Source organism: Homo sapiens, chromosome 13 (genome assembly GCF_000001405.40).
Source record: "Homo sapiens chromosome 13, GRCh38.p14 Primary Assembly".
Taxonomy (NCBI): Eukaryota; Metazoa; Chordata; class Mammalia; order Primates; family Hominidae; genus Homo; species Homo sapiens.
The window spans coordinates 89,409,005-89,427,822 of record NC_000013.11 but is presented as its reverse complement, the minus strand read 5'-3'; the positions used below and the strand labels follow the sequence as shown (position 1 = coordinate 89,427,822).

The 18,818-nt window shown below is 36.3% G+C and overlaps 1 long non-coding RNA gene across 3 annotated transcripts in view; it reads right to left on the bottom strand.

Moving 5' to 3' along the window:
• Positions 1-18,818, bottom strand: part of LOC107984621 (uncharacterized) — a 73,346-nt gene that overhangs the window by 47,969 nt on the left and 6,559 nt on the right. For all 3 annotated transcript variants that reach the window (XR_001749953.2, XR_001749952.2, XR_001749954.2), the window contains one exon: positions 13,223-13,392. This is a non-coding gene — a long non-coding RNA (uncharacterized LOC107984621). The remainder of the gene's footprint in view (positions 1-13,222; positions 13,393-18,818) is intronic.

The window sequence follows — 18,818 nt, the reverse complement described above, 5'->3', positions numbered from 1 at the left end:
TGAGCCACCACGCCCAGCCCATACTGCTTATTTTTAAACAGGACCTTGATACATTCTTCCTCACTGGGCAGGACCTCCCAGCGGGGGAACTTCAGTCACTCCAGCCAGGCTTACATGGGCAGAATTCTGATCTCTCCCCTAGGATGGAGCTCCTGAGGGAGAGTGGTGGCCACCATCTCTGAAGTTTGTCAACTCAGCTGTTCCAGCCTGCCAGCTCTGGAGAGTCTGGGTGGTCCAAATGAAGAAGGGTCCCCACCAATGCAGCACACCTGCCCTACCATAAAGTAGCCAGACTGCTTCGGTAAGCAGGTCCCTGATCCCGTTCCTCCTGACTGGGCGAGAACTCCGGAAAGGGGTCTAAAGATACTTCCTATAGAAGTGTCTGGGCCGGCACCATGTCAGTACTTGCCTGGGATGGAGCTTCTAGAGGAAGGAGCAGGCCACCATCTTTACTGTTTCACAGCCTTCATTGGTGATACCTGCAGGTATGGGAAAAAAACAAGGCAACTAGAGCCTGGAGCAGACCCTCAGCACATCACAGCAGCCCTGTGGTTGCTAACAGTCAGTGGCCTAAATGTTAAAAGAAAAGCAAACAGAAAACAATAACATGAACAAAAAAGACCCCATAAAATCACAATTCAAAGGTCAGCAACCTCAAAGATGAGAAAGAAAACAACGCAAAAATGCTGAAAACTCGAAAAGCCAGAGAGCCTCTTCTTCCCCAAATGATGGCAACACCTCTCCAGCAAGCGCACAGAAATGGGCTGAGGCTGAGATGGCTAAATTGACAGAAGTAGGCTTCTGATGGGGAGTAATAACTAACTTTGCTGAGCTAAGGGAGCATGTTGCAACCCAATGCAAAGAAGCTAAGAATCATGATAAAACAATACAGGAGATGGTATGCAGAATAAGCAGTTTAGAGAGGAACATAACTGACCCGGATGGAGCTGAAAACACATGAGAACTTCACCATGTAATCACAAGTACAAATAGAAGAATGGACCAAGTGGAGGAAAGAATATCAGAGCCTGTAGACTATCTTTCTGAATGAAGACAGGCAGACAAGAATAGAAAAAAAATGAGTGAAAAGGAATGCACAAAACCTCCAAAAATTATGGAATTATGTAAAAAGATTGAACCTATGACTGACTGAAGTACCTGAAAGAGATGTGAGAATGGAAATAAGTTGGAAAACATACTTCAGGATATCATCCAGCAGAACTTCCTCACCCCAGCAAGACAGGCTAACATTCAAATTCAGGAAATGCAGAAAAGATATTTCCTAGTAAGTATCTTACTAAAGATACTCCCCAATAAGATACTCCACAAGAAAATCAACTGAAGATACATAATCATCGGATCCTTCAAAGTTGAAATGAAAGGAAAAATGTTAAGGGTAGCCAGAGAGAAAGGCCAGGTAACCTACAAAGAAGCCTATCAGACTAACAGTGAACCTCTCAGTGGAAACCCTGTAAGCCAGAAGAGATTGGCAGCTAATATTCAACATTCTTAAAGAAAATAATTTCCAACCCAGAATTGCATATCTGGCCAAACTAAGCTTCATAAGAGAAAGATAACTAAGATTCTTTTCAGACAAGCAAATGTTGAGGGAATTCATCACCACTAGGCCTGTCTTGCAAGAGATTTTGAAAGAAGCACTAAATATTGAAAGGGAAAACTGTTACCAGCCACTACAAAAACATGCTGAAGTACACAGACGAGTGACACTATGAAGCAACCACATAAACAAGTCTGCAAAATAACCAGTTAGCATCATGACGGCAGGATCTAATTCACACACATCCATACTAACCTTAAATGTAAATGGGCTAAATGCCCCAATTAAAAGACACAGAATGGCAAGCTGGATGAAGAGCCAAGACCCACTGGCCTTTTCTCTTCAAGAGACCCCTCTCACGTGCAAAGACACACATAGACTCAGAATAAAGGGATAGAAGAAAATTTGCCAAGCAAATGGAAAACAGAAAAAAGCAGGGGTTACAATCCTAGTTTCTGACAAAACAGACTTTAAACCAATAAAGATCAAAAAAGACAAAGAAGGGGATTCCATCATGGCAAAGGGTTCAATTCAACAGAAGATCTTACTATCCTAAATACATATCGTAATCAGTCAGAAGATCACCTCACTTCTGCCAAGGAGTTTAGCAGAGCTCCCCAGTGGAGAGAGGTCTCTAAGGAATGTATAAAATTTCTTCAATCTTTAATGAACGTTTGATTATTTCTCCAAATGTCTCCCTGTTCTTGCACCTTTTTATAAGTCTATGGTGGCCAGCAAAACTATTTTTTACTATTTGTATTTTTCTTTATGCCTAATTCCTATTTCTATTTTTACTTTTTTTCCATGAGCTTAAGAAGGAAGAAACCCTTTAACACCCCAACCTCTGGCTTCAAGCCCTCATTCCCCTCTTACAAGGAACAAAATGGTAAACTTTTACAGCACTGAATTCCCAACAGCAAATGACTAGTTCAGAACCCAGAGCAATTTTAGTTTAGTTTTCATGTGTGGCAGAGGGAAAGACTGAATACCCAACGGCTGGCTACAAGAGAGGAAGGAAAGAAATAAAAAGATCAGGACATGAATGGATTTCAAATGTACTGCCTTACTTGTCCTAAAATGATACTATTTTTTAAAAGGCTCCTGAGTCATACAATTTAAGGGTAAGGCTGTGCTTTGCATATTTTATCTATGGCTATGTTTTCGAGACTAGAGTTACTGAGCATGGCGGCTCATGCCTGTAGTCCCAACATTTTGGGAGGCTGAAGAAGGAGGATCACTTGAGCCCAGGGGTTTGAGACCAGCCTGGGTAACAGGCAACATAGCAAGACACTGTCTCTAAATAATAATAATAATAATAATAATAATAATAATAGGAAGAAGAAGAAGAAGGAGAAGAAGAAGAAGCTAGCCAGGTATGGTGGCTTGTGCCTGTAGTCCTAGCTACTAGAGAGGCTGAGGTGGGAGGACTGCTTGAGCCTGGGAGGTCAAAGCCACAGTGAGCCATGACAATGCAATTGCACCCCAGCCTAGGTGACAGAGCAAGAGAGTGAGACTATGCCTCAAAAAAAAGAGTCACCACTCATCATCTTTGTAAATAACTGTATGGTGATGAATAACGACATACTAATGATGTATGTAAAATTTAGTGGCTCTATTTTTTTTCAGAAATTATGCCTTATTCTGTATAATTCAGTCTATTTCTCACAATTCCTGTTCTCATCTTTCTATCACGGTATTCTCTTGACTGGCTTCATCCTTTTACTTCTCTTTTATGACTTCTGGCTTCTCTTCTGATGTTCCTGAGCAGTACGTTATTTTGAAGGGTGTGCCTGTATCAGTGCTTGGTGTTGAGCCAGTTCACTAAATCCAAAAGGGTAAAACACCAAGGTGTTAAGTTAGGTAAATTACATTCTAAGGGAACTGATGCATACATGAACAAAGCTCAACTAGGGCTGTTGTTTTGTTTTCTGCTTTTTTCTAGTTGTGTTTTGTTTTTCTGGATGGGATATTCTAAGTTAAAAGTTTCAATAAAAAGTAGATAATACCTGAGCAAATCTCCACTTCTCAGCCTGAATTTTTATACATATTGTTGTTTTTAGATGATAAAATATGATACATTTCATCTTCAAAAGTATTTTTTCTCTCTAAAGGAATTCATTTTGCTAAGGTTGCATATACTCATGTCTGAAAAGGTGGTTTATTGGACTTAGATTGTATGTTTCAATAGGAAATATGGAAGTACAAATACTTTGGTTTAAAAAACTTTCTTAAACTCTGTGATTTTCACTTATTGTTGCCTTTGTGTCTGCCAATCCTGACAGAGGAGCAGCACAGTCACCTTTGTGCTAGCAATGCATTAGAGGAGAGGTCCCGAAGATGCTTTGTCATTACGTAACAGTACACAATCCAGGAGACAATCCGTTCTCCATGAAAAAGGGGATGCTATTGGAAGTAGTAAATCTCAGTGTCCTGTGATTCCAAAGAAATGAGTATCTGCTCCTCTTTTCAGGTTGCAGCTTTTCAGATAGAATGGATTTTAGCCTGAGCATTAAAATTAATAACTGTCTTGGGAGGCCAAGGAGGGCAGATCACCTGAGGTCAGGAGACCAGCCTGGCCAACACGGTGAAACCCCGTCTCTGCTAAAAATACAAAAATTAGCTGGCTGTGGTAGTGGGCAACTGTAATCCCAGCTACTTGGGAGGCTGAGGCAGGAGGATCACTTGAACCCAGGAGACGGAGGTTGCAAAGAGCTGAGAGTGTGCCACTGCACTCCAGCTGGGGCGACAAGAGCGAGACTGTCTCAAAAAAAAAAAAAATTAATAACTATCGTTTGATTGTTGTTCCACCTATGCCTGGTAGCTTTCAAATAATTATCATGAAGATAATCTTTATTTTCCTTCTTTTGCAGATAGTATTTTCATATGCTACAATATTACTACTATATATTATGTAATAATAATTACTACTCATATTAGCTAATAACACCTATATTTTGGAATGATTCAGGCTCCTTCTCAGGAATTACCTCATTTAAATCTTAATAATATATCAGTGAATTTCTCATCCCCAATTTTAAATATGGAAATGGGCTCGGGAAGACCAAATAACATATTTTAGCACCAAAATGCTAGTTTGTGATCAAGCCCAGACGTAAGTGTAGGTTGTCTGCATTAAGAGCTTTTGTTATTTATCAGTAGTCCTGTTGTTTCTTATATATAAAATGCAAATCTTTGAGTTAAAAAAAAATTGTTAGTGCCAATTGTAAGACACTCTATTTTGATGCTTTGTCCTTATGTGAACCTAAACTATGTATATATATAGAGAAGAACGAGGGTATCTAACAGTGACTGAGCACTCCCTGTGTGGGAAAAACTTCCTAGTTACTTTTGCATACATCACCTCAATTCTTTTTTTCACAACAAACTTTGGAGTTACATATTACCATCTATTTTTACTTATGAGAAAACCAAAGCACACAGAGGTTAATAGAAAATTTTATCTTTCAAAAAGCCTGTGATGCTCATCTGCAAAGGATGGTGAATAACTTCTTATTTAGTGGAAAGACACAAGAAGGGGATTTCCTTGAAAAAGAAGTTAAAAATGTTATCAAAAGCAGTCTTGTATTAGGGAATTTTATTATTCAACACTCTGACTCCTCCTCAATAGCATAATGTTGATTGCAATTCATTCTAGGTTTCTGATATATTCTGCTTATCCATACATTTTTGTTTTTTGTTACTGTTAATGCATTCTATAAATATGTAAATATTATTTATTTATTTATTGTTGAGGTGGAGTCTCACTCTGTTGCCCAGGCTGGAGTGCAATGGTGCGATCTCAGCTCACTGCAACTTCCACCTTCTGTGTTCAAGCGATTCTCCTGACTCAGCTCCCTGAATAGCTGGGATTGGTGGTGCCTGCCACCATGCCTGGCTAATTTTGTATTTCAGTAGAGACAGGGTTTTACCATGTTGGCCAGGCTGGTCTCGAACTCCTGACCTAAGATGATCCACCCGCCTCGGCGTCCCAAAAATATCCTTTAATAATGGTACTTTTTCTGCATCTATACCCATGTTCATCAAGATTTTATTTCTAGTTCTTATGTTATATGACACCACCTGTTTTATGTCAGATTAAGGCAGATTCTGAAATCTGGCAATAGTTAGCAAAATGAAGCAATAATTTGTTATTACACTTAAAATATTAATAGATGAGTTTTAATCAATTAATTTTATTAATAATTAAGCTATGTCTTCAATAAATAGACTATAGTTATTTTCAAACTTATTTACTTTTTACAGGAAGTATTATTTTCCCAGATCTGTGTCTTAATTCTTATACATATATTGACAATATTTAGCCTTATACATTTTTGCTGTAAGCTGTTCTAAAATGTTGTGACAGCAGAGATATACACACATTCAAATATGTGTAGACATGTATCTGTATCCATGCCTTTGCCACACTTAAAAGTGGATTCGTCTCTTTAATTCTTTTCTTAAATTCTTGCTTCTTCAGGAAAGTGCTACTATAATAGCTAAGTATTAGAAAATGTGCATATTTAAAAATAATAAAAAAAATCAATGATTACCATGTTGAATTTCAAAATGTACAAGGCATGGCATCAAATGTCTAAAAATAAAAAAATTAATGTTGTGGATCTGAATCTCCACTTTTATTTTTTAACTTGAAGTTGCATATAACTCTTCTGCTTATTCATATACTGTGACTCCAAAATGTGTTTGGTCTAACTAACAAGTAGCCTACAATTGATGATAATAATAAAAAATAAATAAAAAGACATGGACATTTGAAAGTGTAAGTTGATTGCAATCAACATTTTGCAACTGAGGAAGAGTCAGAGCTTTAATAATAAAACTCCCTAGTGAAAAACTGCTTTTGATAAAATCTTTACATTGTTTTATTTTACATTCCTTGTGCAATGAAGAAAAAATACAGTGTTAAGATTGCTTATAGGTTTAGACTCATGAATAATAAAATGAACTGATGTATTTTGTTGAAGACTTGAAAGAAATTAACAATTTCTTTTTAATTAATATATCGTTGTCTGTCTGGGTTCTAATGTGTAGTTAATTCATGCCTAGTAAAACTATTTAACAACTCTCCCATAATTTTTCAGTTTATTCAAAGTTACCAATTGTAAAAGTAAAATTATTGATTTACATATGTCTCCCTTTCTCACTCTCTTTCTCTGTCTCATTCCCTCAATAACTAATATGACAGGCTTCATACACTGTTTTAACGACTGAGTCATATATGATGAAACAAATAATTAGTAAAGTTTTTCTGTTGGGTCTAGTAGCTCTGCCTTATCAAGCTATGATATGCATTACATCAATTAAGCCTTATTTGATCTAATAATGAGATAATCAAATGATAAATAAAATGATTTATCTTTTGTATAAAATGGCAGAAGTAGGTTCCTCCACCATGTGTAACCTCCATTCTCAGATTCACTTCAGGGTCCACGATAACTACTCCAATTCCAGATTCCCTTATCAATATCCCAAACAGGAGGAGGAATAGGGAGGAGAAAGTCACATACTTTCCTTTTATTGGCAACTCCTGGAAGTTGCAGTCCCCACTTTTGTTTATATTCCATTGGCCAGCATCACACTAAGATTGAACAGTGTCTGTAGAGGGGATGAAGCATTGTGCATGACTGCATTCTGAACTAAGCATTGGAATTTCGAATTCTTTATAATAATATGAGACAGATTTTCATTGACTCATCCTATTTCTGCCAGAAAACCAAACTAATTAATAAATACTAGTAAAGAAAATTGTTACTAGAGTTTTAGTTAGTGCTAATTCTAAGGCTATAACAGCCAGGAATTTGTTTTATATGATTAGCTACAAGATATTTTCTAGATATGTGGTTAATTATGACACAAGGTTGAAAAAAAGCCTTGCTTAAAAATTACTAGCTACTTCATTAAACTAGAGCATTATATCTGGCAATCTTAACATTGTCATTTAAATTTGTACATTTCAATAGTGAAGTTTTTAAAGTCATAAATGTCATTACATTTTACATTTACACAATTTCCAAGTTGTGTAAATATTTATTTATTAAAGTGACTCTTCACCAATAACTTAATCTCCTGAGAAGATGGTTATATTTACTGTGATCTTATAAAAACCCCACAAAGCAATATAATTGCCATCCAGATGGAATAATAAAAATAATTTAAGGATTCATCACATTTTCCCACTAAATTTTCTGCTTTATCTGTAGTTAGTCTTGATTTTACTGTGCACTAGGCGTCAAAATGACTAATGCAAACAGATGTAACAAATGGCAGCTCAATGCACAAGCATGGGGAATTAGAGTTGCAATGCCTGGCCTAATCATTTCACATGCGGATTAACCTCAGAATAAAAATGGGTTTGTTACTATATATTAATGGATTATTTTAAAAATATATTATTTTTCTGTGTAAATTTTCACTAGCTATTCAGAACAGTAACTTATTTTTATCACATCGTTTTCTAGAATAAATAAAAGAACATGAGAAAAATAATGAAAAATGAAAAAAAATCCTTGGTTTAATTCTCTCATAGATTAACTATGCACAAGATGAATCTCCTTATAATATTAATTATGTATCATAAACACTAATAATTGTTAATAAAATATCACTAATCCTGATCTCTCCTGTGCTAAGTTATACCTGGTTGTCATTACTGAGACACTTTACTTCCAGCCTCTGTATAGTACAATTTCTGTGCTGATCCTGTCTGAGACAGGTTTTTACTTTAGAAATTTTATCACTGCAAATTCAAAAAGCCTACAGCTTAGCCTTGCTGTTACTCTGTGCTCCACCTTTGGAATAAGCATTAGTTCCCATATGACTAATGATTAGCAGCCTGCAGTGGATGCCTATTTAACACAATCCATATACACCTCCTTTATCTTGGCACATGGTCCTATTAACAGTTATTTTTGGACTTGCTATGAAATAACATGTATTATATTAAATTTCCAGGCCAAGACCCAAGAAGCTTTGCCTCCTCCATGTTTTCTGTTCTTATTTTACATGTGCATTGAACAGATAAATACCAGTACAACGTCAAAGTTGTTGGCAGAGACATTGGACAGAAAGAGCCTCAGTACCTGAACTACCCATGGAAAAGACTAACCAACCACCCTGTAACAGGATTATCAATAGAGTGGAAATGTACTTCACTATGCCTAGTGTTTATACTATCTCATTCTGTTTGTTACTGCAATCTAATCTACTCTCCCTAGTACATAGCCAAATTCATTCTCTTTAAGGTTAACCTTTTATTTCAACATTCTTTTTGAATACTCCAAATGCATTTGGTTCATTCCAAATGGACCAAAGTGTGTTTTTCTGAGAACAGAGATGACGTGATTAAAATAAATTAAAAATAAATATTTCTAGTGTAAAGACATAAAAATATAGGATTAATTAATGAATATTTATCTTTTAACTACTTGCATTAACATATAAACATAACATGTTAATGGTTTGAATGTTTTCCTACACATTTAAGGGCTTTAAAAAAACTAATAAATTTTTAACGAAGTTAAAATATGTGCAGCACCATAGCAAGTATTTAGAAATTTTTGTCTTGCTAATTTTTAAATCATCACTGAATTAAAATAAGTAAAATATTTATAAAAATACAACTATTTTTAGTATAGATTAGGGGAAAATTTTTAGAATTTGTTTTCAATATAATATTCAAAAAATGAATTATCTGCATACAGAATAAGGGTCTCTTCTTGAAATTTCCCCTTTCTTGTCACTTATAGATTGATATTTTATAGAACATATCATTTTTGTAATAATGGTTGTCTCATCGGTAACATTGTATTTGGTTCTATCTTTTCCTAAAATATATTGAGAAGTTGACAAGCAATTAAGATCAGAAAATTGGAAATAAGTTATATCATGAGTGATTTCTTCTTATCAAAACATATATTGAAATGGTAGTCACCAAAAGGTAAAGAAAACTCAGAATAAATTGGGTGCAGATTGCAATGCTGTACTTGGTGCATTTGTTTTTCTCAGTAAAATGTTTCAAACTGTAAGGTATATTAAATTAGTAACTGCACTTCTTTCTGTACTAACTTGTACTTAGAAATCTATTCAATCATGGTATCTATTTGCATTTGACTAACCCATAAAATTAATCTATAACTAAGAACCCTTTTATACATTGCAAGTGAAAGTCTTTCTGTTATTTACACGACTTGTTTTAACGTATGGGTGGTGTAGAAAAGTCTGACTCCATTTCTGATGTCTGCCGACAGATTTAGAGCCTCTGTCCCTGTTCCCCCTCTTCCTCGCATTTGGGACAGTCAGTAAGTCTGTTGCTCTTTCCTTTGACACCAGCAGGAAGTTCAACCCACATAAACCTGGCCAGTGGAGGAACACTCTTCCTGCCCTATTCTGTAACTGCAAAAAAGGTCAAACCCAGTTGCTCTCCCTGGGTCTCTCCAATCATTTTAGACCTTGTGGGATGTTGCCCTGTTCTTTCCAGGACATTTCATGATAGGAGTCATACCAATTTTTCTTACTTTCTTGGAGTGGATGTATTGTCATCGGGCTCAAATCCAACCTACTAAGTGGGAGGGGCTCCATCCTATATCCATGAGGTGATCACAAAACAACGTATTTTTATGTTACCTATAAAGATGTGTCTCCAATACCTAAAGTAGTCCCTAGATTGATTGTACCCTCTGGATACCAGCATATATGGCATCCCTAAATCGCCCTATTCTCATTTTCCTGGCTGTCTTAGTAACATCGAACTTTATCAACCAGCTTATACAACACAAGTAAACCATAACTTCAGAAAAATCATAACAGCAGGATTAAGCATAATATTTAACTCTTACCATTGTGTCTAATAAATATCAAATTTAAAAGTATGTTAAAAATGACTGTTGCCCACATATACTGCTACTTCTTTCACTGAAGTTGGATTATACTTTATCTATCATAGAAAAAATTTTTTCTAACTCAGTCTGCCAACAGGTCCTAGAGGCAATGCTATTCCAGTGGCAGTGAGCATTTCCTATGCCCTGATCTTGGTTGCAAATACTATTCTCTCATTAAAGGAATTCAACCTTCTTGGAGAAACAACTGATTTTAGAGCTGGAAGAGGAAAAATACAAGATGAGCCTGGAACATCTTCTAGGGCCAAAAATCAAGGAAGTGGTCAAAAAACAAAAGGATGGGGAATGCCAAAGGGGCACAGGTGCCAATCGAAATAGCTTCAAATAGTCAATTTGGGAATAATTTGAGCCACGATCTCTTCTAGAAAGCTAGTCAAATTCACCACACATGTGATGCCTGTCCTCCATCCTTTCTTCCAGCAAGAGCAATGGACCTGACATCTAGGATGGCCATTTGAGGATTTGATTTAAGAAATAAAATTATAGTGTTCTAAGAAGCCACAACTCCATTGGTTGGAAAGAGACTATATAACAGAATGCAGAGACAAAGGTCGCAGGTAGGTAGAAATTGATTTTGTAACCTAGTGGTGAGCTTGCCTTTGCTGAGCGACTTCAAAACTAATTCAGATGTAACAAAACTTCAGATAAAACAAAACTTCAGATGTAATTTTTGCATCTGATAATTTGCACTTAATTTTCTCCACCTGAGAATAACATTGATCACCTGCTGAACTAGATGAAGCTCTAACATAACTTCATCTGTTAATATTTCCAAACCTTAGCTGAATGGATCCTCCATCTTTTCTGCTTCTGTAGGACCTAAAATAGTTGGTGTGTTATAATTATTCATGCTTTCAACTAATATCTGGAATCTTTGAGAGAAGGATTTGTGACATATTCACCTTTATAAGCCAACTCAATATGTGGAACATAGAAGCCTATTGATGAGTGCTGAAAAAATCAAATTACAGTTTTTTCTTAATGAACATATGTCTGCCATGGATCCAGATCAAAGATTTTATGTACATTTCAATCAGTAGATCATAGTAAAATGAGCTAGTTAGCCTCAGAACAGGACCAGAATTGAGCTTCAGAATTACTGGTAATTTGCTGTAGGAATTCTCCTTAAGTAAACTGTCAACTGACTGTCAGTGTTTATATCATTTTGTAACTTACAGTTTTGTTGCTCTAGATAATATTCCACATTAAAGAAATTGTTTGAGTACTGCTAAAAACAAGATCCACAATGCTCAGACAAGACAACCAAGAAAGCGTTTTTTATGAAAGAAGAATGACTGGCTTCTTTGTATGTATGCACATCCTTAGAGTTTCAGGAAACCGTCCTTCTACTTATCTTCATAATAACCTCACAAATAGAGCACATTCTAAATTTCAATTATCTTTTTAAATGTTGAAAGTGATTTTAAATGATATATCTTACAAGTGTCGAAAATGAGGTCAAGAACAACTGAAATCTGCCCCAAATCACATATTAAATAGATTTAGCTGAGATTCAGAACAAAGGTGACTGACATTAATTTGGTTGTTTTCATCTCAAATACGTAGCATTACTTATATTTCCTTAATACAATAAGTATAACTATGTATAAGATAAATAATCCCTGAGTACTTACAACTAAATAAAACATTACTAATAAAATATATATTGAGCAAGTGTCACATTATAGACAGTGCACATACATTCATATATATAAGCAATTTAAACAATAGCTACCATCAGCTGCTCTTTTCTGAGTTACTGATTTTTTTTTTCCATTCATGAGAGCTAGAATCTTAATAAAACTTAGGCATTGTATTTAGCACAGGGTCTAATTTCTAATTTCATGGTTTTATTTATTGAAAATGAAGAGCATAGGTTAGGGACTTATTTGATCACTGGTTGGTGTTAGGGCAATGTGGATGTGTGATGTGGAGGTTAGGCATCACTTTTATTTTTGGACTTTCAGCCAGCATGACCTCTGAGCATAAGAAGCACAGGGCTATGTGTAGGGATCATCAGTAGAAGGCAATTAAGTCACACGGAGCCAAATAGAAGTCTAGATATCTTGCTAATGTTTTCCTGTGTAACTACATGCGCCCTATGGCTAATTACCATAGTATCCTTGCCTTAGAGTGCAATAATTCCTCCTTTTTCTATAGGAGAGGATCACTATAGCATCTGCTTTGTCTACACGCTTTACTTATGCACAAATTTGTGCTGTTTCAGGTTGAGGTTGCTCAAATAGGAGAAAAGGAAAGCTCCCAGGAGCTGCAGTGTCATTCTCCTGCTGATAAGGCAAGAAATTTCTTGACTATAGCTCAGCTGAGATTTTTAGTTTCCACAGCATAGGTTATGTAACTGAGGGTAGAAAACGGCTACAGAATTTGCTTTGCTTAACATACACATTTTTTGATAAGTGAACTTAAATGTGTGTAAAGCAAACCTAACAGTATGTAAAATGGGCATCATCATTAACGTTAGGTTTTTAAAGAAGATAGCATAAACATTTAAAGATATACACTCTAGGAATATCCACTCATATTTTAGTAAATATTAATTTTTCTTCCATATAGTACATTGGTATTCATCTTGATATTCATGTGTTGTAATGCTAAAATGTGTGTGTATTTATGTAATTTTCATAATATAATTTTAGAACCAGCTTACTGAACTCTCGAGAAAAATAGCACCTTCTCATCACCATCAATTACTATAAATTACATATAAATCATTCAAATATTCTCTTACCTCAACTTCTTAGATCTTAAGCCTTCCTGTGAGAAGCTCTGGAACTAAAATAGCAGCACTTCCGGGTTTCTCAAAATGGAGGCAAGGTAGTTAGTCTTTGTATCACAGATTAGATAATCACTGGATTCAGGACACTTGAGACCAAGTTCAATCTTGATTGAGACAATTGCCTGCAGACAAGAGCAAGTCTCTGAGGTAGATGCAGCTGTGAAGTACTGGCAGCTAATACGCCCAGCAACTAAGACAGGCACACATCAGCCCAGAGGAAGAGATCTGGACAGAACCCGACATTATGTACTATATTCTCCACTTTGTCCCACTCACACCCATTTGCTTATTCTTATCTTTGAATAAAATTCTAGTTGGTGGTGTTACTGCGAAACTTACAAGGAAACAGTTTATGAGAAAAACCATAGCCAATATTGCAATTGATTTAAAGGTAATAATTACAATTTACTATCCCCTTATTCCATCATCTATTCTAGATTTCTCTCCCTCTTAGCTAGCACTTATATGGTCTAGGTGGAATGCTTTGTGACAGGATTCAGGCACATAACCTTGAGGATTCAGACTCTGGCTACCTTCATTTCCTCATGCCATGATGACTGCATTTCTGTGTGAATTCACAGTTGAAATTGGGCATGTGAACCCAAAGTATGCCCTAGTAGATCACCTGAGCACCCATAACATTCCTCCCTTCCCCTGTTGTGTAACAGCAGCCCTGCTTTCCCTAGTGATGAGAAACACTTACTCTTCCTGTTATGGTGACCTGTTAGAGTAGGTAGCTAGGCAGACATGAGCAGGGTGGGAGAGACCCCAACCAAAGAATGTCAGGTGACCATCAGGTGATGGTCTGGAGTTTGTTAAACTGTCCCTCTAAAATAATGATTGGTTGCAGCTGATGCCAAGGAAAGACAGTCTCCCAAAAGATAGAAAACACCTGAAGCTGGTGATCAGCAGCTTCTTGATCAGATCTCAAGAGCTGGGTGAGCGGGCTCAAGCATGTGCACTAAGAGACAAAATGGCAGAGTTTAACTGATATATGATCTTCCTCTAGGAACACTCGACTTGTAAGGGAAAATCACCTCAAATAAACATGCACACAATTTCAATAAACACACCGCACGTGCAGTCCTTCCTACATACTAGAAGACCACTGCGCATGCGGACAGCCTGCCCCAAGAAAAAATCAAGGGAGAAGAAATGCAAACTTCAGAAAGATGCCAATGTATAAAACCCCAAATCAAAGGTCAGACAGGGTACTTGGATCTTTCAATTTGCCTGTTTGGCCCTCTTCCAAATGTATTTTACTTCCTTTTGTTCCTGCTCTAAAACTTTTAAATAAACTTTCATTCCTGCTCTAAAACCTGCCTCGGTCTCTCACTCTGTCTTACGTTCCTTGGCCAAATTCACTCCTTCTAGGAGGCAAGAATAGAGTTGCTGCAGACCCATACAGACTTGCCACTGGTAATATCACTATACCTCCCAGTAAAAGCATTTCCCCTTTGGGAAGTAGGACATCTAGAAGTATATTGCTTTACACTTGGGGAATGGAAAGTACAATCCTCCAATGGGTCACCAGAAGGACGGTGCATGATTAATCCTATTTCTACTTCCACTCCATTGGTTCTCAGACACATGGAGAGGCAAATGAAAAGTTGAATTCTATCCTGCCCACAGCTCAGACAAAATCAGTCCATCAAGGCCATGACATTGCAGTAAAGAAAGAGTTTAATTGACAAGAGGCTGTCCGCACCATGCAGGAGAGGGAGTTAAGCCTCAAATCAATCTCATGGAAGGCTCAAAGGTTAGGGGTTTTTCAAAGACAGTTTTCTGAGGAGGGAGATAGGGTATGAGTGCTGATGATTGGCTGGGGATGCAATCTTAGGGGTGGAAAATGGTCCTTCTGCACTGAATCTGTTCTTGGGTGGGATTGACAGGACTGGTTGAATCACAGGTCTCGGTGGGGCCACCCAACTGTCAGAATTGAAAAAGCCTGAAAAGACATCTCCAAGGCCAGTCTTTGTTTTTACAATAGTGATGTTATCTATAGGAGTAATTGGGGAAGTTGCAGATCTTGTGACCTCCAGAATAGCGGCTGGTAATCATTTAACTATGCCTACATCTTAGTAGAATTCAGGCCCTTCTCATTCTCGTAACCTGGTGGCATTTCATTAGTTTTTCAAGACTGGTATAGTTTTGGGGAAGGGCTATTATCATTTAAACTATAAACTAAATTTCACTCAAAGTTAGCTTGGCCCATAACCAGGAATGACTAAAGGCAGTTTGGAGGTTAAAAGCAAGATGGGGTTGGTTAGATCAGATCTCTTACACTGTCATAATTTTCTTCATCTTATAATTTTTGCAAAGGTGGTTTCATCCTCATCAGCATCAGATACTTAATGAAGATGAATGGGATCTTAAGACTCAGAGCTTAAGATAACTCTGCAAAGATGCAAAGAAATAGGCCCTTTTCTCAATTGAGAAAATGTGACCCAAATTGAGAAAGGGGGCTATTCCTTTGCATCTGAGCATGAAAAAGTTATTGTTCACCACCATCTCCAGAAGCTGATAGGTGGGTATTTAAGCTCTTAGGATATTTCAATAGAGCATCACGGCACCCCTATAGTAGTAATATTTAATTGTGATTTTTAGTTTGCATTTTCTTATTGACATGAATTTCAGCATCTTATCAAAAATTTCATTGTATTTTTAAGATTCTCTACATGCATACTTATTGTTTGTATTCTTATTAGCTATTTTATTGATATATGAATGATTAAACTAGGATTATGAATTTGTATTTTTAGTCCTTAATTCTGTTGAATTTTGCTTTGTACAATTTTAAACTATGTTTTGAAAGCAAATAGTCTCAGAATTGTTAATATTCTTGTTGAATTGATGCCTTTTAAATATATTAATGTCATATAACTATACTTATCTATGTAGTTTTGAACTTTGTTTTATAATGTAGAGCTGTAGTGCATATGCAGAGGGAAATGAAGCTAGACAGATTTTATATTAATTTGAACAGGGAGCTATAATTTTGGAATTGTAAATGTAAATTTTATATCTACGTCAAGCAATTCAAATGCTAAGTAGGACAGTAAAAAAAAAAAAGTAGTAGGGCAAAATGCAATTTCAACAGTTAAATTTCAGTGATTTAAAAAATATCCCCCTCACTCCCCTCCAAAATACAACTACTCTATTTTGCTTCCTGCCAGCAGCTAAGCTTCTTAAATTGACACTAGTTTTTGGGTTTTTTTTTGAAAATGCAGAAAGGAGAATAAAAATTTTCCTGAAGACTAAGTAAATAGAAAACAGTTCTACACCTTAATTTAGAAATCATTTAAACACTTTTATCTGTGTTTTTGCAATGTGTACATACTGGTTCAAAGTAGGTAATTGTGTATTCTGTGAGTAATCAGTGAGAGAAAATATAGGATAGAAATGTTTGTTCAGTGCTCAAATTAAAATGATGGAGATGGAACTATGGTTTTCATCAGTGTTCATTTTAATTACCATCTCCTTAAAAAAACCATTACCACACTACAAACTTCAAATGTTCCATCTTTCTCCTATTAGAGACATTATAAAATATTTTCTGTGCTTTCAGTTTTTTTTTTTTTTTTTTTTTTTTTTTTTTGAGACGGAGTCTCGCTGTCACCCAGGCTGGAGTGCAGTGGCGCGATTTCGGCTCACTGCAGGCTCCACCCCGCGGCTTTCAATATTTTTATGGGGTTAGATTCCACGTATAAAAACCAGGTTTAACAAGGAGAAAGAAACCATTGGCATTAATTAAGTTAGAATTCCAAATAGCTGGTTGTATATAATTTGTTTCATGGAAATTAATATCAAATTAATATATCCACCACATTTTTTTATTTTGATACAACAAGTTTACTGTTTACTGCTTTCTTGTTAAAAGAGTAATAGAAGAAAAGTATAAAATATTAAATAATTAGATCTGCCTGAAAGTCATGTCAACAATCTGTAACATTTGAAGGATTTCTGAAATGCACTGTGGCAAAGACCTGGAAGTACACTGCTCAGATCTCTCTTGCAGAAAAAAAAGCTGCTGTCTGGAGTGGAATCAGCTGACAGCCCCAGCTCCTGTGCCTTCATATGTAAAATTTTATATCAAAAAGGTAAACTGAGGCACAATAAAAATTTTAAAAAAGTTTATTTGAACAAGTAGCAATTCATGAATTGAGCAGCTTTGAACTGGAAGTGGTTTAGGACCTCTGCCAAAGGAAGGCAAGTGGAAAGCTTTTGTAGCGGAAACAATGCAAAAAACAATTTAAAAAAGTATTTATACAGTTTTTTTATTTGGTCTACTCTACTAGAAAGTTCCTAGTTATATATGTTGGTGTCTCATAAACTTGTTTTTTTTTTTTTTTTAGTTTGTTTTCTGTTGCTTATACAGAATACCTGAGACTGAGTAATTTATTAAGAAAATAAATTGATTTCTTACAATTATGGAGACTGAGAAGTCCAAGGTCAACGGTCCACATCTGGCCGGAGACTTCTTGCTCTGGTGGGATGGGGACTTTCTGCAGGGTCCCAAGGCAGCTCAGGGCATCACATGTGAGGAGGCTGACTGTGATAGCTCAGGTCTCTCTTCCTGACTTCTTATAAAGCCACTAGTCTCCCTCCCATGATAACCTATTAATTCATTAACCCATTGATATATTAATCCATTAAAGAATAATCGACTCATCAGGGCAGAGTTCTAATGATCCAATCACCTCTTAAAGACCCACCTCCAAATACTGCCACAATGGAGATTACGTTTCAACATGAGTTCAGGAGGAGACAAACATCCAAACCATAGCACCATTCAAAACAGACAAGAGGCCTGTAAAGTCCGTAAATGGGCACTTCATATATCTCCACTAATTCATAAGCATAAAGTTTCTAATAATTCCATAATGGAATGAACTTCAATAAGACCTACAAAAAACTCAGAATGTTTAAGAAATTTACATTACTGGGAACACAATTACTCGGACTACAAAGGAAGAGACAGCACAACATAAAAAATACTTTGGACCCCCAAACTACTACTTGCAGGAAGAAAGCTGAGAAAATTATTTGGCTGCAGACATGCGCTACATTTTATGTTAAAGGAAGGTGAATTTAAAGGCTAGAACCCAAAGCCCAGAGAGTAGAGTAAAGATTAAAGGAGAACATCCCCAGAAAAGAGTGGGTACTAATTAAGAGATTGCCAACACGTGCCCAGCTGGGTTTCAGAATTGCTACCAGACAGTGACTGCTTTGTGCCTCTTTTCCCCCTTTAAGAATGCTAGGGTCCAAGGTGGTTTCTTTATACTGACGGCATTATTGGATGTTGAGATCACCAGCGGTAGATACCTTGACAGGACTTCCAATGAAGAGAAATGACATTCGAGAAACAGTATCCCAAATATAGTACCCAAGAAGCCTCATCTGTCCCTAAATCTGAAATACATGACAGGATCCTGAAGCTCAAACCTAAGATTAATGATGTAATAGACAATAAATTATCTATTACATTATACCAATGATGTAATAGATAACACTTCTGAGGATCTTGGGAGAGTCTGAGTCTATTAAG